Source organism: Homo sapiens, chromosome 1 (genome assembly GCF_000001405.40).
Source record: "Homo sapiens chromosome 1, GRCh38.p14 Primary Assembly".
Classification (NCBI taxonomy): domain Eukaryota; kingdom Metazoa; phylum Chordata; class Mammalia; order Primates; family Hominidae; genus Homo; species Homo sapiens.
Window position 1 is genome coordinate 214,514,217 of NC_000001.11, and position 27,898 is coordinate 214,542,114.

Below are 27,898 nucleotides of genomic sequence, written 5' to 3' on the forward strand. Positions count from 1 at the left end.
AGGTAGTCCTCAAACAGGATAAAACACCCTATTTTAAAAGGCAATAAACCTAGTGCTTGAAAGCCCTCAAACGCTCTACAAAGATATCATGAAGCCACGACTATGATTTTAAGACATGCCGCATGTATGGGTCCTACTGATGCATAAGAATTGCTCTGGGCCACTCACCCACCATCCCGTAGATGCAGCATTTGAGGGAAGATTTTCCAAATTTGCCATATAGACTTAGAGCAGTCCTCTATGGATAGGAAAGTATGAACCAGTGGTTTTACAACTGAAAAGGCACCAGGGAATTTGTAAAGGTGCAGATTGCCAACAGATTCCCAGACTCTCTCTACTAGACAGTCTGATTCCCTGAGCCTGGGGTCCCCCCTCGATGGTGCTGGTGCCTGAGTTTTAATGTGCTCCCGGGCAGGCGGGCGGGGCTGACTCAGGCAGTCCCCATACTACTGAAAATAATACTGAGGATGTGTGCCAACTCCTCCATCATCCAAACAAGCCTTCACCCCATGACCCCAGCTCAAACCACTTTGTGCAACACCACACATTTAAGGCTGCAAAAGAGACTTGCAGTGTGCCCTCCAGTCCTTCCTCTTTAGAAGGGAAATAAGAACTGTTGAGAGAATTGAACAAAGCAGAGAATCTGAGAGCCCCTAAACCCAGCATGTGGACCAGAGCAGGCACTGGAGGCATCGGTACAAGTCACATACTAAGCAGAACTTTGTTCGGTCGCCTGGCAGCTCCCCTCCTGTAGCCGACAATAAACAAGCATCCATCTCTCTCCATCATCCACTGCCGTGACCGAGCAGGACTAACAGCAAGAACAGAAATTCTTCCTCCTATTACATCTTCTAAATAAATCAAATGGCAACAGAGCCCAGGGAATGGCAGCTTTTCCATGCCTTTTGACCAGTCAACTATCAATAAATCAGGAGAGAAATCCCTCCGTAAGTAGAAAAAAGCCTTATTTCAGTGATTAAAGACAATGAAAAATTTACACATTAGTTAATGGAGTTTTTAAAAACTGAGTTCAGCATTTGGGAGAAAAAATACTCTTAGATGTAAAAGTATCCACTATCCACTAGGCACTTATTTTTTTTTTAACGATAATATGTCTATCTTCCTGCCAGCACCACACTCTTTTGTTTATTGGAGATTTGTAGTGAGTTTTGAAATTAGAAAATGTGAGTCTTCCTATTTTTTTCCAAGACTGTTTGACTACTAAGGGTATATTGTAATTCTATATATATTTTAGGATCAGCTTCTCTATTTAAGAAAAAAAAATAAGCCAGTAGGGTTTTAGTAAAGATTGCACTGAATCTATATATTGCTTTGTGTAGTGCTATCATGTTAATAACAGCTTCCAATTCATAAGTAGGGAATATCTTTTCATTTATTTAAATCTGATATTTCTGTCATTGACGTTTTGTGGTTTTTCAGTGTGCCTCCTTAGAGAAATTTGTTTCTAAATATTTCAACATTTTTAGTGCTATTGCAACAGGAATTGTTTTCTGAATTTCGTCTTAGCATTCTCTATTGCTAGCATAAAAACAAATGATTCTCAAATGTGAAGAAAAGAAAAAAAAAACTGAGTTCAGGATACTTACTGAATTTTTAATCCCATAAAAGGGATTTTCCTTTCTACTTCCTTCTCTTGAGAAATATCTTGCTATTTCACTGACCCTGGAAAAGTTACCTTTGGCAAAGTACAATTTTCCTGGAAAAACTGCAATTGGGCTGATATTCTCAGTTAGGCCTGCTATATCTGATAAAGAGCTTTGTACTCAACTTTTCAAAGCTCTTAATACCTAGGTATAATTTCCTGCACTCCTCTTTCGATAACATAAAAGCAGGAAGTACACCTCCACCTCACCCCAGAGGAGCTAGATTAACCCTGCCACTGCCAGGTTCTCAAGAAAATTTCTCTGTATTGGCACCTGCATAGCTGATGAGCCCAATATTAAAATAAAACAAATTTTTGCTTCTACAGTGTCTTCACCCTTCCTTTTTTCACAGTTGAAGCCACACTATTGAAGGGGTAGGAATAATTTCTCTATGATGCCTTGTGTGTTTTGGTTTTGTTTTCAGTGCCAACAATGCAAGAGGCCAAGGTACCATATATGAATTGAAAAGTAATTCACAGCCCTTCAGAGTATCCTTTGCAAGGATGGCAGTGACCAGTGAGAGACATTGCTGTTCCCACTGAAATATATTTAAAAGAGTCATCACTGTGCAGCATATGCTGGGCTGATATGACATCTGCCAGAAAGCTAGCATTCCTATAAAAGCAGACAGTTTATTAAGATATGTTGACTTTCCTGCTGGACATCATTCTTGCCAGATTAGCACCAGAGCAAAACAAACACAAAATGTGGTTGGTAAAGTTTGTTTGAAGTTACCTACTACTAACAGCTTACCGCAGCAATACATAGTATTACCAGGACTGTAAATATTTATTTTCCTTGGGTATAGATTCAAAGGAAATAGAAAGGCAATGTTTGTTTGAAAACACTGAATTAATTTTGATATTAAAAAAAAACTCAGAGAGGCAGGCAGGTGCTAAGTGTTCCACCTAGGGAAATTCTAATCTTTACAAACAGAAAAGGCACACACATTCCTTTGCTACTATCATATCCCCACTTGATAGCAATTCCTGTTCCCCACCCCACCCCACTCCACCTACGCTACGCACCAGGCATACTCCTCCTGGCTTCTGGACTATGCCTTGAACTTTAAGGCACCTGCTCTCCTCTCTCACAGTTCATGTTCCCTCTTTCCTCCTGGAGAAATTCTTTCTCATCTTCCCACCAAATATGTCCTATCCAACCTTCCAGGCCCAGCTATCTCCTCCGCTCCTAAGGCTGTCACCTGTCATCCAGGCAAATGTAATCGGTCCTACCTCTAAGCCTTTACAATGTCGTGTCCACATCTTTTACAGGGCAACTGCCAGCCCTGCACAGCTACCTCCTTCTGCCTCAAGGACATGGTCACCTCCATTTCTGTGAAGGCATGGTCAGTGTACTATAAAATTTCCACATAAACAAACTTTATGTATGTATGACAAAATGCATGATATGTCTTCCTTTCTGAAATAATTACTGCATCAAAACTTAAGGATCCTAAATGGAGAAGGGAAAAGCCTTCAAGTATGTCTCCTTGGCACACTAACCACCAAGGTTAAGATTAACTCAAGACAAAGTGCACATTGAATCTAAAGAAGCTTGAGATGGTACTGCTAGGTCAACTCACCAAATTTAATGAGCATAATATTAAAAAAAAAAAAAACATAAAGTAAGAAATACCCAAAAATCTAATCATAGCACTAGCCAGAGGCCATAAATGAAAATATGCAGGAACACATCAGCAAAGTGAAACTTACCTTTCTTCTGAGATGACATGGAAAGAAAAATATAACAGGAGGCAGGAGGAGTAGGGAGGGAAAGGGACCCTTCCCTAGTCCCTCTAGACTATACAAAGCTTTATATCCATGATCTGAGGCAGGTGGATTGCTTGAGCTCAGGAGTTTGAGACCAGCCTGGCCAACATAGCGAAACTGTGTCTCTATAAAAAATACAAAAATTATCCAGGAGTCGTGGCACATGCCTGTAATCCCAGCTACTCTAGAGGCTAAGGTGGGAGTATCACTTGAGCCTGGGAGGCAAGGGTTGCAGTGAGCCAAGATTGTGCCACTGCACTCCAGCCTGGGTGACAGAGAGAGACTCAATCTCTAAAAATAAAATAAAATATAGAAAGCTTATAATATAAAGACCTCTAAAGAAGGTACTTAAAATATAAAAAACTTATAAAATCCTCCCCAGAAGGAACAATGCGTTGGTATCTTTTCATAACCCCTGAGCTACCATATTTATTTCACCTAGCACATGGTAAACAATAAATGTTTGTCAAAAGATTGAACTGGGTACTGTATCCGAAAATCCACCATGGATGGGATGAATTTCTCTTCCCGAGGATGAAATTATTGTTTTGGAGAAGATGGGAAAACACATCATGTAAAAATGTCAGAGATATTTCTACCCAACTAAAATATGACACCAATATATCCAAACCACTACTCTCTATTCGCCACTACTAATAAAAGAAACTCCCTAACCAGATTCAGAAACAGCCCTTTTAGAATCTGATAAATGATATCCCCAGAATGACAATAGTTTATTTTTCACATCTTCATTTCATTAAGGTCATTAAGCATATTAAATATGTTACATTACATAAACTATTCCAAATATAGGCTTTTGTCTTGAATAGTATTATCCTCTATTATCCACTGTGGTAGATGATCTATTTCACAAAGAATGAAAAACAGTAGATAATGACCAAGGAATTTATTCATACAGAGAGGATGAGACTTCAAAAATGAACTTCCTCTGGGTTCTCTTGAGCCCAAGGACTGAAACCATTTAAAATCCCACTGGGCAGATGGGTTGGCTGGGTGCAAGTGGGACAGAACAAGGAAGGGGTACAGTTACCCTATTATTTGTGCTACTTCTAAATACAACAGCTATTCACTTTATTTTAGATAAAGTTATATTCAGCTAAACTGAAACAAAAAAAGAGGTAAAATTAAGTAACTACGCTACCCAAAAAAAAGTCTTTATGTTCAGGCAGCAAGATAAATAAATGTTAGTTTGAGGAAAATGTCCTAAGAATATCTGCCTTGTGTTCTGTTTTATATTTTAGGTATGTTGGCTTTAAACTAATTTCCTAGATAATTTGATCATTGCCTTTAATTAAAAAGAACAAAACGAAACAGGCCAGGCACAGCAGCTCATGCCTGTAATCCTAGCACTTTGGGAGTCCAAGGCAAGCAGATCACCTGAGGTCAGGAGTTCAAGACCAGCCTGGCCAACATGGTGAAACCCCACCTCCACTAAAAATACAAAAATCAGCCAGGCATGGTGGTGGGCACCTGTAATCCCAGCTACTTGGGAGGCTGAGGGAGGAGAATTGCTTGAACCTGGGAGATGGAGGTTGCAGTGAGCTGAGATCATGACACCGCACTCCAGCCTGGGTGACAGAGCAAGACTGTCTCAAAAAACAAAACAAAACAAAACTCAACAATCAAGAGGGAAGCACCTTTATACAGCATTGCATTCCTGTATCAAAGCCCTCACCACTCCAAAAATGATCTGATTGAGTCTGTTCCCCCACCCCCATCTCCAACTAGAAGCACCTTATTTATTTTCAGAGTTACTGCCCCAAACTTGCAACACAGTGAGTTCTCAATAATGCCTGCTGGTCCATAATATACTGAAGTAACTTCCTAATATACATTGATACATTCCAGGGACAGTTTCAGATACTAAAGCACTCTTATTTGTATAGCAGGCTAACACTAAATTATTCTTATTTACTTGTTAAACCAATCCTGCCTAGCCTTCTGCTAGGTGATAGAGATAATCGCTTGCATATACTGTTTTTTGAGTAGCATATTACATGAAAGTTCTTTCAAATTAATCTGGATTATTAATATTCACAAAGAGTTTTAACCCTCCCGCCCCATGAAATCTTTTATTCAAAATATAAGCAAGCAGGCTGGGTGTCGTGGCTCACGCTTGTCATCCTAGCACTTTGGGAGGCCAAGGGGGGCGGACGGCTTTAGCCCAGGAGTTCAAAACCACCTGGGCAACAAAGAAAGTTCTGTCTCTACAAAAAATAAAAAATTAGCTGGGCATGGTGGCTAGCGCCTATAGTACCAGCTACTTGGGAGGGTGAGGTGGGAGGATCCCTTGAGCCCGCGGGGTTCGAGGCCACAGTAAGCTATGATCATGCCACTGCACTCCAGCCTGAGTGACAGAAAAAAACCCTGTCTCAAAAAAAAAAAAAAAAAAATATATATATATATATATGCAGAATATATGCAGAACAGTCAGGTATGAATCAGTCTGTCTGCCCATCATTTGGTAGAGATGCAATGAGAAAATGAACAACAGCTAAGCCGGCAATGACTTACTGACCCCAGAGCTTACTATGTGGCAGGCTTTCTTGAGGAGAAAAGGTTATGAACGTCTTATCCAAAGAAACTGTCCTCTTTTCTTTTGATTCTCTACAAACTACATCTAAACCAATAAATATATAGTAACAATAAAAATGACGAAACTGAGAAGGTTTTAGAATGCTTTTGTTTTAAATTAGACTGTGGTAAGCAATGGAATCAAGTCATCAACTCCAGCATAACAGATACAACACTAAGAATGGTGGAACAGAAGTTTTGATTCAAGAAAGTTACACAAAAAGAATGAAGAATTTTCAGCAAAACAGAATTTAAATACTTCAGGATGCCTGGAATCTAAAAGAAAATGTCAAGTAGTTCAGCAGCAGGTGGGAACAGAAAGGGGCTCATTACCTTCCTCATGAAACTCACCCATAACCACTGCACTGATGGTCATCTCTCCACGGTAGGAAGAGAGGAGCAGGCTAAATGCAATCTACAGGCCCCCCTCCAGTCCCCGCTTTTACTGTTCTGCATGCACCATATACTTTCCTCCATCACTCTGACTTGTTGAGTTTATTGGGATCAGTCTTGTGTTTAAGTGCCTTGTAAATAAATACAAAACATTTCACCAGTTCACTCAAATGTTTTACTGCCTGACCTCCTGCTTGGAGGTTACACATGGAGCTGATGAAAAGAATGTCATAAGCATTCTTTTCTACCCACCTGGACTAAATTGTTATTTACCCCAGGCCAGTGTCTCTTTAAAGAAGCTAAAATTGCCTTCCGTCTTTCTGTAACACTGGGGTAAATAAAACAGATTCACAATGCCTAACAGCTCCACATGTCATTTCACAGAAGGCATTTGAGGGAAAAAGAGTCATCTGTTTTCCTAAGTAGAAAATGAAATTTATCTTTGGAGAAATAACAGTTTTTTTAAAGGAAGCTCAATGCAATTTAAAAAATAAAAACATGTTTTCTTGAAAACACATGAATCAGTGAGAGATCCATGGCCCACATGGCATGTTAATCGCTTTATAAAAATATTTCTCATATAAATGCATACACGAGTATGCTGTTTTCACAAAGTACTTGACGGCCCCTTAGTTAATGGCAAAAAGGACTTCTCAGATACCTGCTCTAGCTAAGATATAGAAAAGAGCCCTCTGATATAATCATCCAATTAAAACGGCAGATGCCTTCCTTGAGAGAAAAAGATGTATAAATACTAAATGTGACAGTATAAACAGAAACAAGAAAGAACGGCCAGGCGTGGTGGCTCACGCCTATAATCCCAGCACTTTGGGAGACCAAAATGGGTGGATCACCTGAGGTCAGGAGTTTGAAACCAGCCTGGCTAACATGGTGAAACCCCATTTCTACTAAAAAATACAAAAAATTAGGTGGGCGTGGTGGCGTGTGCCTGTAATCCCAGCTACTCAGGAGGCTGAGACAGGAGAACCGCCTGAACCAGGGAGGCGGAGGTTGCAGTGAGCCGAGATAGCGCCACTGCATTCCAGCTTGGGCAACAAGAGCGAAGCTCCATCTCAAAGCACACCCACACACACACACACACACGAACAAAAGAACTAGAAGACTTCAATAAGAAAAACAACTAAAGGTAGGAAAATACGCAGTTAGGAAAAGTATGGGCAGAACTGATGCAGCACATCCCCCAGTTGTTTGTCAGAAGGTACCTAAAACCATGTTTCATAAGATTTTTGTTGTTTTTTTTTTTACTTAATCTTCAACAAAATATAAATCTGAAGCTTTTTTTTTTTTTTTTTTGAGATGGAGTCTTGCTCTGTTGCCCAGGCTGGAATGCAGTGGCACGATCTCGGCTCACTGCAACCTCCACTTCCCAGGTTCAAGCAGTTCTCCTGCCTCAGCCTCCCTAGTAGCTGGAATTAGAGGTGTGCACCGTCACACCCGGCTAGTTTTTGTATTTTTAGTAGAGACAGTTTCGCCATGTCGGCCAGGCTGATCTTGAACTCCTGGCCTCAAGTGATCTGTCCCCCTCAGCCTCCCAAAGTGCTGAGATTACAGGTGTGAGCCACTATGTCCAGCCTGAAGCTTCTTATATCATCTTTTCCCCACAACTATGAGAGATTTCATACCAGTCATGTAGCATCTTAAGGATCAAAAGTAGCTTCAATGGAATATGGAAACCTACGGCAAGTTTGGAAGTAGGTACAATCACTACCAAAGTAAGCTTTGATTAAATTAATATCTTGTTTTCAAAAACAGTAACTTGCAAAATGGCCAGTCAACAAATAGCTAATTCAACTCAAATAACTATCTGTGTTCAGAAAAGGAACAAGCAGGATACAAACATCCAAGCCCGCAGAACGTAACCACTAAATATATATGCAATACCTGTTTTCCATCAGGTTCTGAAACAAATTCGCTGTCCTAATTATATTCAGTTTAAACCAGCGTAAAAAACAGTTAACATTCATTGAGCCTACACCAAATGGTGGTAAGTGGAGGAGGTTGCTGAGAAGTGCAGTTAACCAATTCAAGGCCGTTTTAAATAAAGGACAAGAAAAGTGAAAATGAAGACCACCAGAGGGCAAAAGTAAAGACCGCAAGCAGTAAAAGCTTTACTTATAAACAAAAGACAACCAATTGTGAAAATAAATGCCATGGTGTTTTAAAAGACTTAATGTGGGCAACTCCTTGTTTAGGACGGCATAAAATTGCAGGTGATATCAATTACATTTAAAATGCTGGCAAGATAAGACTGAGGAGAAAGAAGGCAGTCACTCGGCCTATTCAGAAGCAGGGAAACACTAAATCGAGATCTTTTGAAATTGTGGTGGTGATCAGAAGCTGACTACAGACCAAAATAATGAAAATTATTCTCACTCCTAAGACTTAATCATACTTAGTGAGGCACCTAAGGTTATGGGAGATTAATGTGCTATTCATCCTTGGACAATCCTTACATTGTCACAATATAGGATCTACAAGGACAGGTCAGATCCATCTTTATAGAGGCAGTGCCCTTGAACCTGGCATCCCGAGGTCAACACAGTCTCTCGCAGAAACACATCCACTTCCCCACATATCCCCATATCATCCCATTTTTCTTATATACCTCTTACTGGAAGTCCTTCCTAACCAAGAATGAACCCAGAGCAATCTGTCATGCACTACATGACATCTCAATTAATGACGGACCACATACACGACAGTAGCCCCAGAAGATTATAATACCATATTTTTACTGTGCTCTATGTTTCGATACACAGATACTTACCATTATGTTACAACTGTCTACAGTATTCAGTACAGTAACATGCTATACAGGTCTGTAGCCTAGGAGCAATAGGCTACACCATCTAGCCTAGGTGTGTAGTAGGCTCTACCATCTAGGTTTGTGTAAATATATTCTATAATGTTTGCTCAACGACTAAATTGCCTAATAAGTCAATTCTCAGAACATACCCCCTTGTTAAGCAACCACAGATTTGACAACTAGGGGCCCTGAGTGCAGTTTCAGTGACCCCACTTCCGGAGGTATCTGGGCTGCTGGCCCCAGGAGTACTGGCCACCAACACAAGGCCTGGAGTCCCTCCTCCTCCTGCGGTGGCTGACCAGGATCCTTGAGTTCCTGTCACTGAACACTGGGGCTGGGAATCTATTTTTGCACTGAAATAGTATTTGAGAGTAATCAGATTCTTTTTTTTTTTTTTTTTGAGATAGAGTCTTGCTCTGTCACCCAGGCTGGAGTGCAGTGGTACAATCTCGGCTCTCTGCAACCTCTGCCTCCTGGGTTCAAGTGATTCTCCTGCCTCAGCCTCCCAAGTAGCTAGGATTATAGGCATGCACCAACACGCCTGGCTAATTTTTGTATTTTTAGTAGAGGCAGGGTTTCACCATGTTGGCCAGGCTGGTCTCAAACTCCTCACCTCGGGTGATCTACCTGCCTCGGCCTCCCAAAGTGCTGGGATTACAGGCATGAGCCACCACGTCTGGCTGACTAGATTCTATAGTATGCTACATAAGAGGCAAGAAGGCTTTTGCCAGACAGCTGAGAACTAAAGCACCAATTTTCACATCGTTCTATAGAACGATTTTCTTATAAGAAAATCAATTCCTCATTGCAAGCTGATTTACAAGTTTTTGAAACTACTTCTATATGAAGTGGGCCTAGAAGAGGAAACAGTATGCACGTATCAAGGCAGTAAAAGTGAAGAGGGCTGGGCGTGGTGGCTCATGCCTGTAATCCCAGCTACTTGGGAGGCTGAGGCAGTAGGACTGCTTGAGTCCAGGAGTTCAAGACCAGCCTGGGCAAAAAAACAAGACTCTGTCTCTAACAAAAATGTAAAAATTAGCTAGGCAGGATGCTGCACACCTGTAGTCCCAGCTCCTCGGAAGGCTGAGGCAAGAGGATCCCTTGAGCCCAGGAGGTCAAGGCTGCAGTGGGCTATGATCGTGCCACTGCATTCCAGCCTGGACAACAAAGAGAGACCCTATCTCTTAAAAAAAAGGCGGGAGGGGGCGAGTGGAGAAGGATTCAAAATATAATAGGATCAATGGAAAGACAACATATCTCCTGTGAAATTTATTTTTTCAGACTATGCTCCTCTCCAGCAATCTCTAACATATCAGCTATGGCTTCCTATTTCAAAATCCTTCACCCACCTCCCAATCTTCTCTTCTCTCTCTTGTCTATCACATCCTGTTCTCTAGAGATTTCCAGCCCAGAATTTGAAACACCCCAAGTGTCTCAAATTATTTCAAAATAAGTTATGAAACTTTCAAAACAAATTAATGTAGTAAGTGTACACTATAAAGGAATCTGCCATGGAGGGTGTCAGGAAACCCAAAACCCTGGAGATCATGTTGCAATTCCCAAAAGGAAGCAAACCACAGCTCAGGAGAGGCCAAGGAGGTATATATGTAACATATAGCAGTCCCACAAACACTTTAAAGAACTACACAGAATCAGCACTAAATCTCTGCGAAGATTCAGAAGTCGGTGCCAGCACTGTGACAGAAGGCAATGTTTTGCAGAGGGCAGTGGAGGTACAACAGAATATGTATCTTTTTCCACAGTGGAGCAAAACTTCGGCTAAATTCTACTAAACCTCTTACCCCAACCACTTCCAACCTCTGACGGGACACTTTTCTAAAATGATCCCAACAAACCTGGTGAACCTCTGAAAATATATCCAAACAAAATTAATTGTAATGTAAACAAATGTAAAAACAAGTATACTGCATACGTTATAGTCCCATTTCTCATGGGAAGGGTCAGCTGCGAATGCTAAGATCATTCAAATAACATGACTTATCACAGCAAAACAAAAGTTTAAATTTACTATTTAAATTTGCTACTTGAATCTTTCCTGGACAAAAACAAACCTGGCAACTAGTTTCTTCTGAAGAGTAAACAGCACAGAAGTTTCCTCTTTCACTCTGACCGCAAATTCAACCACAGAGTTAAAACAAAAAGTTTTCTAGAATTCATGAATCTGTACAGAGGTGTTCAGCTGGGAAGCTTAGGAATCATATTCTACTAGATCAACTAAGTCAACAAAGACAAAGAAACTGAGTCATGGGTGGCTAAGTAACTTGCCTAAAACCAAAATAGCTAATTAGTGACTTGGGACTCAGGTTTCTGAAATTCCACAGGCGTGCACTTTCCACTAGACCACATGGGTGAGGATGGGGGATGGTAGGAGGAGGTGCAAAAATTCAAAATGGACTTGGCCCGTTACACATCTGCCCAGAGTAGTTTCATCTTACATGGCCTAAGGGACTCTCAAGGAACAAGCTAAAGTCAACTTTTTTTTTTTTTTTTTTTTTAAGACGGAGGCTTGCGCTGTCACCCAGGCTGGAGTGCAGTGGCATGATTTCAGCTCGCTGCAGCCCCTGTCTCCTGGGTTCCAGCGATTCTCCTGCCTCAGCCTCCTGGGTAGCTGGGATTACAGGCGCACACCACCACGCCCAGCTAATTTTTATATTTTTAGTAGACAGGGGTTTTCACCATGTTGGCCAGGCTGGTCTCGAACTCCTGACTTCAGGTGATCCGCCTGCTTCCACCTCCCAAAGTGCTGGGATTACAGGCGTGAGCCACCACGCCCGGCCAAGCTAGAGTCACTTCTAATGGTGCCTGGGTAGCGTTTTTAGACAATAAAGTGACTAACATTAATTTGGAGTCAGAGTATACACATACCAACAGTAATTCAAATACCATTCCAAAAGTCACTATCTGATTTTCTAAAGGTCAGATAGGAATTAAAGGAAAAATGCCATTTGAATATATTCAATTGCCAATAAAATATACACTCCAAGGAGACTGACTACCCTTAGAATCTGTTAAGTAAGGACTCAAGGTCCCCAGATGGTTAAAAGAAAAAAAAAATAGAAAAAGAGAGGTAGCTCTGGTAGAAAAAAAAACAGTTCTTAGATCACCACAACCACAGCAATGAAAGGAACCCAAGATTATATCCAAGTACTGACTGGCCCAAACACAGCAGAGAAGAATAGGCATTCTGATTATCAGTGTTTGAAAAATCCAGGTTTAGTTTAGGTTTGAGATGTGTGGAAGAAGTGATGAGACAGAAAAGAGGAAAAATTAGAAAACCAGAGGAGAGGAAAGAAAGTCATGAAGTGGTAAAGAGAGCAGGTGGGCCGGGCGCGGTGGCTCACGCCTGTAATCCCAGCACTTTCGGAGGCCAACGCGGGGGGATCACCTGAGGTTGGTAGTTTGAGACCAGCCTGACCAATATTGAGAAACCCTGTCTCTACTAAAAATATAAAATTAGCTGGGCATGGTGGCACATGCCTGTAATCCCAGCTACTGGGGAGGCTGAGTCAGGAGAATCACTTGAACCCGGGAGACAGAGGTTGCGATGAGCCAAGATCACGTCATTGCACTCCAGCCTGGGCAACAACAGCAAAACTCCATCTCCAAAAAAGAAAAAAAAAAAAACAGAAGGTGATAAGGCAAGAAGGTGCGGATCTCAGAGCCTTGGCAGGAAAGCCCCCACCTTCTGCAGAGGAAAGCTCCGGTCAAGACATACACATTAGACCAGATGGTAAAGGACATTTGTAGGTTTCTGTCTGCGTGCAGGCAGAGGTTTCTACAGAATATATTGGGTCTATACTTTTGCTCTCCCTGTTCCAGAACTTGATCTTATGCATTCGATCAGGAGTAACCAATGCCAACTTAGAAATTTATACTGCGAAGCCCTAATTCTCAAGGGGACTCAGCTCATTCTTAACCCAAAAGGCCTAGTATCTGGGGAAATCACTTCAGAATTCAAAAATTCTGAATAAAGGGATTTAATCACCCTAACCATTATAATGAAAGGAGGATAGGCTTGAAGCATGCATCAGTAATTCCACTGCTATTTCAGAGTCTTCTCTAAAAATTAATTATATATTTTTTAATAATTTCCTATTTAGCATTCCTTTCTATTAACCAAAAACTTCTATTGACATAACAGTGTTTCCTCTTGCTTCCAAGATTCTGAACGGTCATGTGGCTAAAACATGGACTGGATCTCAGACTAAGGCAGAAATGCATGCTGAGGAACACATGCCTAGTCAAACACAATGAAGTAGAAAAATCTGTAAGGTGGTAGAGAAAGTAGGTAAGCTGAACTTGCAGCCTATCAGCCAAATGCAGTCTGGTGGTTTTAAAATGTTTTTCTCTTCATAGCTTTTTTACTAAAAGTCTGTAAGGAATGTTTAAGCATCAGTAAGATACACAGAAAGAAGAATGGTTACAATATTGAAAATAGTAACACTGATAAGCACTTCTCTCGACAGCTTCTCTCTAAAGTCACTCCTCTCTAAAGTCAAAAGTTACTGAGCACCTACCAAGGATCAATATTGCAATAAGACACTCTAACTTTAAGTCATCGATATCTTAATAAATATTTAATATTCATGTATAAAACAAAACAGTGACTAAATACAGCCTTACAAATTATAAAATCTGGCAGTATGTAAACTGGGCAATCCTTGGAAGAGAAGTTTTGGCAACGAAGAACATAAAAATGTATATGTTATTTTATTTCATGCATTAAACCTACTCCTGGGAATTCAACCCAAAGGAATAACTGGAAAGAAAAAAAGACACTATATGTACAAAGACGTTAATGGTATTTTATTTATAGTAGCCAAACAAACACCTGGAAATAACCCAAATAGTCAACAAATGGAAATTGTTAATTATAACATACTACTCAATGAGCTATACATCCATTAACATTCTAAGTATATTAAGAATATGTGGCAACAGAGAAAAGTGTGACTAAAAAGATAAATGGGAAGAAAAGCAGAAAAAGTATTCTCACAATATATTGCTCTATGTGACTATTATTCTAAATATATAACATGATTACAGTTATATAATTAATAGAAAGTTTAGAAATAATATATAAAAACACAGTGGATATACTTGAGTGGTAGGGTAATTGGTTTTAATATTCTTGAGATACTTTAAGAACTGAGGTATGGGGGCTGGGCGCAGTGGCTCACGCCTCTAATGCCAGCACTTTGAGAGGCCGAGGTGGGCGGATCACTGGAAGTCAGGAGTTCAAGACCAGTTTGGCCAATATGGTGAAACTCCATCTCTACTAAAAATACAAAAATTAGCCAGGCATGGTGGTATATGCCTATAATCCCAGCTACTCAGGAGACTGAGGCACAAGAATCACTTAAATCTGGGAGGTGGAGGTTGCAGTGAGCCGAGATCATGCCACTGCACTCCAGCCTGGGTGACAGAGCAAGACTCCATCTCAAAAAAAAAAAAAAGAATTGAGGTATGGTTGTTTTAAAAAATGGGCTTTAGCTTGATGATACCCACAGCCTATGTAAGTCAAGAAGATGGGGCCGGGTATGGTGGCTCACACCTGTAGCTCTAAGACTTTGGGAGGCCAAGGTGGGAAAATTACTTGAAGCCAGGAGTTTGAGACCAGCCTGGGGATATAGCAAGATCTTCATCTCTACCAAAAAATAAAAATTAAAATTAAAAAATTTAGCTGTGTGTGGTGGCGCATGTCTGTAGCCCCAGATACACAGGAAGCTGAGGTGGGAGGATCACTTAAGCCCAGGAGTTTGAGGCTGCAGTGAACTGTGATCACACCACTATACTCTAGCCTGGGCATGACAGAGTGAGACACTGTCTCTCTGCCAAAAAAAGTCAAGAAGATGGGTCCTAATCTCTATGGTCATAGATACCTGACCAAAAGTATGTGTTTCAGAGACCAAGGTCTTCAAAGCAGCAGAGTGAAGGAGAAAAGACGATTGGTCACACACAAGTTGGCTATCTATTTGACAACTGAGTACACTAGCAAAATAGAGCGTGCTGCACAGGTTTTCCTTCTACAGAGACATGGGAGAAATTAACAGTTTTGGCTACCATCCTCCTTATAAACAACCTCTAACAACTTGTGGACATCAACAAACATGTGCTGGGGACGGTGGCTCATGCCTGTAGTCCCAGCACTTTGGGAGACTGAGGCAGGCAGATCACTTGACGCCAGGAGTTTGAGACCAGCCTGGCCAACATGGCAAAACCCCATCTCTACTAAGAATATAAAAATTAGCCGGGCATGGTGGCACATGCCTGTAGTCTCAACTACTTGGAAGGCTGAAGCATGAGAATCGCTTGAACCTGGGAGGTGGAGGTTGCAGTGAGCCGAAGTGGCACCACTGCACTCTAGCCTGGGCGAAAGAGTGTGTCTCAAAAAAATATATATATATATTAACCACTATATGACAATGGATTCTAAAGAACCACAAATTTGCCATATGTTTTAAAAAGCTATTCCTTGCATTGAACATTCACTGTTGGTAATGGATAAACCTCTACTTAAGAAAAACAGAGCTGACTACAGATACCTCATAGATGCAGGTATGTTAAAACAGACTAATAGTCTCAGGCCTTCTTAGGTCAACAACTACAACATATTGTCTGTTAATTACCCATCAGGTTAGGCCATAAGCAGATTTCACTAGTAGGCCAACATTCAGGCTAGGAGGGAAGAAAAAAGGAATGGAAGGAAAATGCAAGGAGAAAGTATTAGGGAGTGAACATGGTAACAGTAACTCTTTGAGGGCAACACAGTGTGGGGTCCCATAAGTGATCAACCCCTAACCAAAAAGCTCTAAAAATCTATAATACTTTCTTTTTTCTTTTCTTTTCTTTTTTTTTTTTTTTTTTTGAGACAGGGTCTCCTTCGGTCACCCAGGCTGGTGTGCATCAGTGGTAGGATCTCAGCTTATAGCAACCTCTGCCTCCAAGGCTCAAGCAATCCTCCCACCTCAGTCTCCAAAGAAGCTGGGACTACAGGGGTGCACCACCATGCCTGGCTACTTTTTGTATTTTTTGTAGAGACGGGGTTTCACCATGTTGCCCAGGCTGGTCTCGAACTCCTGGGCTCAAGCAATCCACCCACACTGACCTCCCTAAGTGCTGGAATCACAGGCGTGCACCATGATGCCTGGCTCTATAATATATTTTACACCCTTAGCCTCAACTCTTCCAAAATAAATAATTCAGTGAAGGAGAATATATTCCAAAGATAAGCACTCCTTTTGTTGTCAAAACTATTAGCAGTTTACGAAAATATTTACGACGAGTACGATAACCTTTTAAGAGTTCAGTAGTAACCTTCTTTTTATAAATTCAGCCAAGATATCTAACAATTCAATATAAACAAGCACCCTATTTTACTGCACTAATTTTTAAAAGCTTTTCTCTGTAATTACTTAACTTCTATATTAATATAAAACATCCTCATTCCCATTTACTCTGAACCTCAGTACCAACTTTGCCTCAAATATTTACCTCCTAAAAAATCAAAACTTCATAAACAAACGGGTCCTTACCTTTCAAAAGAAATTTGCAATGAATTCCAGGGAGACTCATATAAAGTGAACTGAAATTGAAATAAAATCCATTACAGGAAAAAAAATCCGAAGACTTTCATAGCAAATCTATTCAAGTTCACATTTCTTCAACACTAATCCAAGTCTTAATAGTCACATCATTAATACTCTTAATACTCACATTTTTAACATTCTGCCACCAGCAACTACTACTGTTCAAATAAACTCTGGTTCACACACTGATGTCTGCTTCACACATCAACTTGCTTCTCCCACACTTGCACTTGCTTCCCACAGAGCTGTCATAATTTCTTACAAGTTTTACCAGGCTGTGTCCCAAAATAAAGAGAATGGATTCTTCCGTTCTGAGGATTTTTGACGTTTCTCCGCCAAATGAGGGAGGAGGCATTTGCACTCCAATAGTAGTTTCAAGACCCAACTATCATTTCCAAAACCCATCTCTACAACCCAGCCTAACACACACACACACACACACACACACACACACACACACACACATTCTCTGCCTATTCTGCCAATGGACTCTGAATTAAGTGGCCTGAAGATTTCTCGTATCTGCCCTGCAAGTCTTCTTGCCCCTGCTGTGAAGTCTCAGAGCCTTAAATGAGGAACTATAACCCAGGATATTTATGGGTCTGTCTAGACACCATTATTTCTGAGCAGACGCCAAAGACAAGTGTAACAGCAGGCAACATGACACTTGTAAGTTAAACCAAATGAGAGGATACAGTCAGTAATAAAAAGTTTTCATTTACAGTTTGTGGGGGGAAAGCCGTAGGAAAGACCCGTTCTTATGTTTCAGGTGGTATTTTGTATGTAAACCATATGGCAATAGGCAATTCTGAAAACCATGGAATTAAAGCCATCCAATATTAGGCAACAGGGCAATAAATAAATTCCCTCCTAAGACTTTAAAATATGAAACAAAACTCAGCAATCTGAGCAGGTTTGACCACTTGTTCAATTCTGTAGTGATAATTACTATGATTTGATTGAGATAAAAGTTATAAAACCTTGTATCAAGTATGTTTTGTTTTTACTTTTTCACTGTCTTATTTTAATGTCAGAATAAATATGTATTGAAGTAGTAGTATACTGAGGTCGTTGGCAAAGCCTGGGTCCTGTCCTCTCGTTCTCCTCCCCAGACAGCATGAGTTTCACCACTTGCTCCAACTTCTCCACCAATTACTGGTCCCTGGGCTCTGTCCAGCCGCCCAGCTGGTCAACAGCGTGGCCAGAGCCTATGCACGTGCCAGGGGCTCTGGTTTCCAGATCTCCGTGTCCTGCTACACCAGCTTCTGGGATGGCTTGGGGTCCCGGGGCCTGGCCGCAGGGATGGCTGGGGGCCTGGCAGGAATAGGAGGCATCCAGAACGAGAAGGAGACCATGCAAAGCCTGAAAGACCACCTGGCCTCCTACCTGGACAGACTGAGGAGCCTGGAGATCGAGAACTGGAGGCTGGAGAGCAAAATCTGGGAGCACCTGGAGAAGAAGGGACCCCAGGTCAGAGACTGGGGGCCATTACTTCAAGATCATCGAGGACCTGAGGGCTCAGATCTTAGCAAATACTGTGGACAATGCCTGCATCGTTCTGCAGACTGACAATGCCCATCTTGCTGCTGATGACTTTAGAGTCAAGTATGAGACAGACTCTCAGGCGCCAGTCTGTGGAGAGCAGCATTACGGGCTCTGCAAGGTCACTGATGACACCAATGTCACTTGGCCACAGCTGGAGACAGAGATCGAGGCTCTCAAGGAGGAGCTGCTCTTCATGAAGAACCACAAAGATGAACTAAAAGGCCTACAAGCCCAGATTGCCAGCTCTGGGTTGACCATGGAGGTTGATGCCCCCAAATCTCAGGACCTCGCCACGATCATGGCAGACATCTGGGCCCAATATGACAAGCTGGCTCGGAAGAACCGAGAGGAGCTGGACAAGTGCTGGTCTGAGCGGACTGAGGAGAGCACCACAGTGGTCACCACCCAGTCCGCCCAGGTTGGAGCTGCTGAGATGACACTCACGGAGCTGGGACGTACGGTCCAGTCCTTGGAGATCGACCTGGACTCCATGAAAAATCTGAAGGCCAGCTTGGAGAACAGCCTGAGGGAGGTGGAGGTCCGCTACACCCTGCAGATGGAGCAGCTCAACGAGATCCTGCTGCACCTGGCGTCAGGGCTGGCCCAGACCCAGGAAGAGGCGCAACACCAAGCCCAGGAGTGCGAGGCCCTGCTGAACATCAAGGCCAAGCTGGAGGCTAGGGTCACCACCTACCGCTGCCTGCTGGAAGACGGTGAGGACTTCAATCTTCAATCTTGGTGATGGACAGCAGCAACTCCACGCAAACCATTCAAAAGACCACCACCTGCCGCAAAGTGAGTGGCAAAGTGGTGTCTCAGTCCAACGACACTAAAGTTCTGAGACATTAAGCCAGCAGAAGCAGGGTACCCTTTGGGGAGCAGGAGGCCAATAAAAAGTTCAGCGGTTTAAATAAAAAAAAAAAAAAAGGCTGGGTGCGGTGGCTCACGCCTGTAATCCCAGCACTTTGGGAGGCCGAGGCGGGCAGATCACGAGGTCAGGAAATCAAGACCATCCTGGCTAACACGGTGAAACCCCATCTCTACTAAAAATACAAAAACAAAAAATTAGCCGGGCGTGGTGGCGGGCGCCTGTAGTCCCAAATAATCTGGAGACTGAGGCGGGAGAATGGCGTGAACCCGGGAGGCGGAGCTTGCAGTGAGCCGAGATTGTCCCACTGCACTCCAGCCTGGGCGACAGAGTGAGACTCCGTCTCAAAAAACAAAAAAAAAAAAAAGAGAGAGAAAAAGAAAAAAAAAAGTAGTATACTGAGAAAAATATGGGGCCAAGAAAACAAGGAGGATGAAAATGAGTTGTGTTTTTGTATTTTTTAATGACTTTCAAAACAAGGTAAGAAAATTATAAGTGGCTCTTGTTTTACTCAATGTAATAGATCAATAACAATAGAATTAGTTCTAAATATTTTTTAAATACCATCATTCGTAATTACAAAAATTAAATGGTAAGCAATTATGAAATCAACAAAATGAAAATTTCAAAACCCAGCACTAGCAGGATGTGAGGAAAGTTGTAAACTTAAAGATTGATGATGCTGCTATAAGCTGATAGTTTTTCCAGGGAGCAATCTGGCCATATGTAACAAGATCTACAAGCAATTCTTGCCTCTAACCCACAGAACCTACCTTGGAAACTAAACCCTAATGAAGAACTCTCCAAGTAAAATAAATGTAATTTGTTCATCTATGTTTATAGTGATACTTTTTGTAATAGTTAAAATTGGGGAAAATCTGAGTATCAAGCCACAAGAGAATGGTTAAATAACCAATCGTGGTATAATAAAAGACGTTATTGGCCGGGCGCGGTGGCTCAAGCCTGTAATCCCAGCACTTTGGGAGGCCGAGGCGGGCGGATCACGAGGTCAGGAGATCGAGACCATCCTGGCTAACACGGTGAAACCCCGTCTCTACTAAAAATACAAAAAACTAGCCGGGCATGGTGGTGGGTGCCTGTGGTCCCAGCTACTTGGGTGGCTGAGGCAGGAGAATGGCGTGAATGTGGGAGGCGGAGCTTGCAGTGAGCCAAGACCGCGCCACTGCACTCCAGCCTGGGCAACAAAGCAAGACTCCTTCTCAATAAATAAATAAATAAATAAATAAATAAAAGACGGAATTATTGATCCCGAATCTTTGCTCCCTTCCTATAAGATATCCCATCCAGTTCCCTGTGACTTGCCTGGGAATCATGTGGGATGAGTGGAAGTCCTCAACCCAGTGAGTCTTGGCTTGGTCATGTGATATACTTTGGCCAATGGGATGTGAAGAGACAACCTATTCACCATCCCCTCGCACAACAGCTTTCAATGACGTTACATGCTTCTCATTACACTACCACTCTTTGATGACAATAACTTCTCATCAAAACATGACAAGTTATATAGTAGCGGATATAGCAAACATATATTTGAAAAAAGGTCATGAAAAAGTAAATAAAAAATAGGTAGACACAAAAGATATCGATATAAGGCAAGCCAATGAGTACCAGAAATTAATTGAAAATGATATAATCATTTATAATTATTTTTGTCAATGAAGTATCTGTTTATACTTCATCTGCACCTACATCTATATCGCCACATCTTTTCATTCTCATTTAGATGCTACCTCTTTATAAATATATTTTTCAACAATTCTGTACATACCATATTCATAACAGAAATATTTCTATCCAACACGCTTTGTCTGCTTCAATGACATAAAGATTAGTGAACACTTATGGCAAAAGTAAATCTAGTGCAAAGGTTATTATTCAACCTTTCACATGTACGATTTAGGGTTCAACAATTCTTTTGTCAGATTATAAAGAAGGCAACTGTAAAAAACAGACAAAAGCAAGAGTTAGAAGAAAGTGTTTGCTGGGCTGGGCATGGTGGCTCACACCTGTAATCCCAGAACTTTGGGAGGCTGAGGAGGGCAGATCACCTGATGTCAGAAATTGGAGACCAGCCTGGCCAATATAGTGAAACCCCATCTCTACTAAAAAATACAAAAATTAGCCGGGCCTGGTGGCGCATGCCGGTAATCCCAGCTACTTAGGAGGTTGAGGCAGGAGAATTGCTTGAACCTGGGAAGCGGAGGTTGCAGTGAGCCAAGATCATGCCATTGCACTCCAGTCTGGGCAACAGAGCAAGACTCCATCTCAAAAAAAAAAAAAAGGATTTGCTGAGATAATCCACTTCCTTGTCATCAAACATTGTGTGAAAGCAAGATCTCAAAGACCCTCACCTATATGAGGGTAAAGCTGTGTTACCACTGAATTTATCTTTATGACCTACATTAGAAATTCCATTGCATCTGTATGATTCAAGAATCACAAAAATGTTCACTATATCAATCTCACTCATAATTAATCCTAAAATAAATTCAACAGCAAAAAAAGTATTAATGTGAATCATTTTCACTATCATCTTCTATGCGATAGCAAGAAATGTAAAATGTGCATGCTTTCAATAATAACAACAACAAAAAAAGGCCAGGTACAGTAGCTCACACCTATAATCCCAGAATTTTGGAAGGCCAAGGCCGGGGTGGGGTGGGGGTGGGGGAGATAACTTGGGGCCAGGAGTTCGAGACCAGCCTGGGCAACATGATGAAACCCATAACTATGAAAAATAAAAAAATTTGGCACAGGATGTTGGCATACACCTATGGTCTTAGCTACTTAGGAGGCTGAGGTGGAAGGATTGCTTGAGCCCAGGAATTCAAGGTTGCAGTGAGCTATAATCACACCACTGCACTCCAGCCTGGGCAACAGAGCAAGACCTTGTCTTTAAAAAATTAATTAGTTTTTTAAAAAATATTAAGAGGATTTATAGTATATCAATTGTAAAGATACTACAAATATTAGTTATTAAGACTACAAGTTAGCTGGGCATGGTGGCTCACACCTATAATCCCAGCACTTTGGGAAGCTGAGGCGGGAGGATCACTTGAGCCCAAGAGTTCGAGACCAGCTTGCGTAACCTAGTGATACCCTGTCTCTACAAAAAAATAAAAAATTAGCTGGGCATGGTACCACATGCCTGTATTCCTAGCTACTCAGGAGGCTGAGGTAGGAAGATCTCAAGATCTTGTCTCAAAAAAATAAAAAAATACAGAAATTATGTATAGATTATGAAGGAGTATATAAAATTACAAGTATGAAATTATGTCTACACATGAACATTAACTATTAGGTTGATGTCAAAGTAATTGTGGGTTTTGCCATTACTTTTAATAGCAAAAACTGTGATTACTTTTGCGCCAACCTATAAAAAACATCAAAAAATTTTTAAATAGCTGGTCATAGGTTTGTGGCTAAGTTTATACCAATTTTTTAAACATGTTGGTACACTGAGAGAAAAAATGTCTAATATTTGTATTTACAAAATCTGTACTTGCTATGAAATATACCCACGTCTCTCAGTTACAAAAGAATCTGGTATGCTTCAAGTTTCTAAAAACAATTTATTTTAAATATCTTTCTAATTAGGACAACCTTGAGTTAGTAAACGAAGCACATCCAGTTTGATTTTTATCATTTCCTGATAACTTGAGCTCATTCCTGGAACATCAATGGTTTTTACTATATTCCCTAGTTTAAAGATGATACCTTTCACTGCTAGGGAAAATAATGGGTACCCCCGGTAGATACTAATGAGCAGAAGGGCTGCTGCAGATCAGGTCTAGGTAACGTTTTCCTTTTTGCCTTTGAGAAGTGGTGATGAAGAGTGGATACAAGCACAAGCTCTGGATTCATGCCCAGATTTGACACTAGGCTCCATCATTCACTAGTATTTGCATGCCATGATGTTACATAGTAAACCAGTATTTATTTACCAGCTGTAGGATCTTGTGCAAGTTACTTAGCCTTTCTAAGCCCGAGTTGTCTCATCTACAATAGGCCAAAGATAGTGCTTACTTCACAGGGTTGCCGTAAGGATCAAGAAAGATAATCCACTGGACAAAGCACTTGCACACGGTAAGTACTATACTAACTAAAGGCCAATTAATATCAGTCTCTCTCTGCTGGTCATCTAAGGTGTCATCAGGCTTACATTTTACCATCACCTATAACTACTTTTACTTTCTGTCTCTAACTACTTTTCCTTCAGTCCTCTTAGGCATCACTGAAGAACTAGGGCTCCTAAGAGTAGTTTGATAACCATCTATGACGGTGCTGTCCAAAAGAAATATAATGTGATCCATAAATGCAAGCCACCTATGTAATTGTTGATTCCCTTGTAGTCACATACAAAAGTAAATCAAGACAGGTGAAATTAATTTTGACAACAGATTTATCTCAATATACACAAAATATTATGTCAACATATAATAAATAAAAAATTATGAGATATTTTACTTTTTTTTGATAACAAGTCTTCAAGGTCCCATGTGTATTTGACACTGACAGCAATATCCCAACTCAGACTAGCCACATTTCAAATGCTAAACAGCCACATGGGGCTAAAGGCTACGTTATTAGTTGCTGATTCTTTTCAAGATTATGACCACAGAAAAACATCTCCACTTTCGAAAACATCAAAATGCATTTATTAAACAAGCTGGTGGATAGACAAAAGGAAAGAATGAATGGAAGGAGGAAGGAACACATGTACTTGACCTACACAGACTTCTGAGCCTAACGTGGTGGTTAAGAACTTGGGCTGTGGAATCAGAGAGAACGGGTTCACATGCCACTTACTCCACTTACTAGCTGTGAGAGCTGAGCAAATAACTTCTTTAATTCTCACATTTCTCAAGGATAAACTATAGATAAAAATAACATCTCCTTCATAATGTTGTTACAAGTTTAAAGGTTATAGCAGAAAGGGGGTTTCTATACATAAAGCTCTGCTGTATAAAAGGCCAAAGATAGGAGTGGGGAAAACCGATGAAGAGAATACTGAGCAAATTAGCTTGACATAAGTAAAGAGGCCATGGTGGAGAAAAGCTGTTCATATTATTTATATTCACAATGCCTGTTACGTGCCCAATTACACAAAACAATTTGAACAGAGGCAGCTATTAATAAAATAATTGCAATGGCATTTCTAAAGCTCTCAGTGGCTTACAACTCCCCAGCCTGCTTGCTTGCTTGCTTCTTGGCAGTATTCTAACTAAGTAAGTGGGGGAGACAGAGGGCAGAAGGCCAGAATTTGCAGAACAAAGATTTTTCCGTACTGTATATATTAATATTAACCACATTTTCTAGCCTCCATAAGCCAAATGGATATATCTGAATTTTTCTTTGAAGGATGAGATTCTCAGTGTCTCAAATTTAAACTGAACGTTACTCTTCAATGTACTATAAAGACATTAAACTAAATGCCTACTGCTCTTTAAACTTTTCTTGAAAATTGATTTTGTGAATAATTCCTGATATTTTGCTTTGAATTTGCTCTTGTTATGTGCTACAAAACACAAAAGTCTAGCTATTTAAAAAATTAAAGTTAGTTCTGGTCTGCTAATGATGACTTTAAATGTTTAATCATTTTAACGATCCAAGCCACTACATGGTCTAAATTAGATGTTGAGTTTCTTAAAGACCACAAACATGTCTTCTCTATCCAGGTAACTTCTAAACCAAGATTTCTCTGGTAGGTATTCCATTTACTATTAGTGCCCTTCCATATTACAGGTGTTCCATAACATAGATTTTTTTTAAAAGATTCTTACTAAAATGAATTTAGCTTTGAAACATTTTCATTTACTGCAAGACTTCTCAGAGCCTTTAATGTCAACACACACAGATTTCAAAGTACTGAGCTCAGTCACTATTATAGTTTTATCATCTACAAATGAGAAAAAAATGTAAACCAAGAACCAAACAATAAGGAGATAGCCTAATTGCCCCATGGAAATAGGTGGTCTTTGCACTTCTGGCCTGATGTGCTGCTCACTGTGCATTCTCTTTTATCATACCCAAAAAGATATTAATGTTGAATACATATACGGTAATTAATCTATCAGAATCCTCCAAACTAATTTATTCCAAAGGAATAATTTACTATTATTTGAGCTAATTTATTCCAAAGGAAGGAAGGGAAGAAGGAGGAGGGAGGAGTGAGAAAGGCAATAAAGAAGAGGGAGGAGGGAAGAGAGGAGGAGGGAGGAAAGCAGTTTGAATAACTACTAAATATTAGTGCATATTCACGGGCAAAGCTAAAATTCCTAAACACATTCATAAGGATGAAGGGGCACAAAGTACACACTCATACCTAACCTGGCACTCAGAAAACGTGCCTCATTTTAGGAACAACCAAACAGCTGCTCAGCAGAAGCACTGCACAAATCATCCTCCCCAGCCTTTATTTTTAGACACTTCTTAGGTAAAACAATAATTTTCTAAAGAATATAATTAAGACTGGTAGATGTCATTTCATTATTTTGGAGTTTTAATTTGTTTCACATCAGTCCCATTTTTCCCCTCATAAATCACATAATTATATAATATTCCATAAGAAATTCCTTACCTTTGAATAAAAGAATATATATGATCTTTTAAAAATGTACTGATTTAAAAAGCACAATCCACCCAGGATGTTAGTCATTATAACCCACGGATTTAAACACACAGGGAGTCTAAAAGTCAGCCCCATTTTTCAAATGATAAATTGAAGACTTGCTTATGTGTCAAAAAATGTGTACCTTCATCATTTAAAGCACATTTTACAAAATGTATAATGCAAAAGAATAGGCCTAATAGATCACAGTATTTCCTGGGCAGAAGGGAATGCTAATTGCCTCCTGGAGTCTTAAATGAAACCTAATTGCTGGCTTGAGCTGTCACCACTGACCCTAGAAACAGACTGGTGCACCCTTCATAAACCTAATACGGCATAATCCTCCTTTATTATGGTTATTACAGCTCTTCAGTGGGACACATCTGCCACAAAAATAAACTGCAGCTTCTCCTCTAAATGGAGGTGTCACTTCTCCACCCCAGAGCAAGCAGCGCTGATGGCAGAAATCACTCTGTACAAGTGGTACCACTTCACAGCCTAGAGCTACTTCCCAACTGGGACTCACACACGTCCACAGATACTACTACAGCAACCATGAAGCTACTCCATGGTGATGGGGGAAAAGAAAGGACGAGGAGCGTGAACAGCTATTTATTTATTTAAAAAAAAAATCCACCACCATAAAGCAAATGGGAAAAGCAGAAGAAGAGTATCTAATACAAATCATGGGTTAGAGCTAGGAAATCCATGTGTAAATCCATTAGATTTACAAACAAAATTTCAGATATTGAACCCAAGAAATATTCCTTTCAATTTGTTTTGAAGTTTTTTTGGACACACTCTTAAAAAAATTACTTCAATTAGAAACATTTCTCTTACATCTATTACTCATCAATTCCCTAAACATTTATTGAACATGTACTCTGCATCAGATGCCATAAACCCAAGTATAAATAAATTACAAAATATGTCTCCAAAGGTGTGAAAATAAGCAAACAGTACAGTATTATAGGAAGGCAGAGAAGATGGCAATGATAATATAACTATTATTAGGGATATTATTATCCCTAATAATAAAAAGGGAACATCAGATAAAACCTCCAAAAAGGACATAAAAATCATATACACATTAAAGAATCAGAAAGAGATTATGTGATCAGATGTAAAAAAGAATTGCAGTGGGGGCAGAAAGTAACAATAACAGCATAAGTCAAAGCAACAAGGTTTCAACCCTGAGAAATGTTTGGAGAAGGTTCACAGGGAGCCAAGAGATGTTTAGGGGAGAGGCCAGACAAGGCTAGGAAGTTAGGTGTGATCAAGAGCTATGCAGAGCCCTGACTGTGTTCACACCTGATCTCACCTGCCCTTCCCTCCCACATCCCTGAGTATGAGAGATTGAGAGTTGAGGGGTTAGTTTCTTGATCTTGTCCAAATTTAGTGAAATGTGGAAGTCAACCAGGCCAATGACGGAATTAAATGTAAACTCCAAGAGGGCTTTCGCAGGCCACAGGGTTCCAGTGACTTGGGTAACAGATGTTATTCTTAGCTCATCTGTTACGTGATGGTGATTTACCTGTCCATTTCCTACCCAAAAGCCCATCAGAAAGCATTATTTAGAGAAAACCACTTTACATTGTTGTTAAACTCCTGATTGCTGCTCTTAAGAATATATACATATGTATTCATGGGAATATTTTTTCTCAATATTTGTATGATTCGCTTATTGTATTGTGCTGAGTGAGCTCCTGTGTGCTTCAGACAAAAATAAATGAGACTTTCTGTTTACATTTTTAAAAAAGAGCTGTGCAGAGCCTTGAGTGCTCTGCTAGAGAGTGTGTACTTTAATCATAAGCAGTTTTTAAATGAAATATTTTAGAAGGGAGAATGTAATAAACACACGTTTCCATCACTCAGCTTAGGAAACAAAACAGTATCACATGTCTGTCCTCACCTCCACCCCTGCTCACCATACCCTGTCTTTTGTGTTTATCCTTCTGGTATTTCCTTATACTTTTACTACACACACACACAT

The 27,898-nt window shown here is 40.5% G+C and overlaps 1 protein-coding gene and 1 pseudogene across 5 annotated transcripts in view, besides 2 other annotated features; one reads left to right on the forward strand and one right to left on the reverse strand.

The window, feature by feature from the left end:
• The window catches only part of PTPN14 (protein tyrosine phosphatase non-receptor type 14), a 202,903-nt gene that overhangs the window by 165,517 nt on the left and 9,488 nt on the right, over positions 1-27,898 (reverse strand). The window contains exons 2-3 of one of the 5 annotated variants that reach the window (XM_024448759.2): positions 19,101-19,191; positions 18,248-18,310 (exon numbers count right to left, since the gene is read on the reverse strand). The exons of 2 other annotated variants lie outside the window; for them this stretch is intronic. The gene's annotated coding sequence lies outside the window, so the exon portion shown is untranslated. Of the gene's footprint in view, positions 1-18,247; positions 19,192-27,898 lie in introns of all 5 variants that reach the window. 2 more of the 5 variants (XM_017001941.2, XM_047426367.1) reach the window with 2 other exon arrangements.
• Positions 330-624: a silencer, noted in NCBI's record as "tiled region #6950; K562 Repressive non-DNase unmatched - State 21:Repr". NCBI's record gives its function as "represses a minimal TATA promoter and a strong SV40 promoter by Sharpr-MPRA in K562 cells {active_cell/tissue: K562}" and the evidence as "EXISTENCE:reporter gene assay evidence [ECO:0000049][PMID:27701403]".
• Positions 11,412-12,295: an enhancer, noted in NCBI's record as "H3K4me1 hESC enhancer chr1:214698971-214699854 (GRCh37/hg19 assembly coordinates)". NCBI's record gives its function as "activates a minimal SCP1, AML or CMV promoter by ChIP-STARR-seq in naive H9 embryonic stem cells {active_cell/tissue: H9 hESC(naive)}" and the evidence as "EXISTENCE:reporter gene assay evidence [ECO:0000049][PMID:30033119]".
• Positions 17,929-19,308, forward strand: KRT18P12 (keratin 18 pseudogene 12; annotated as a pseudogene).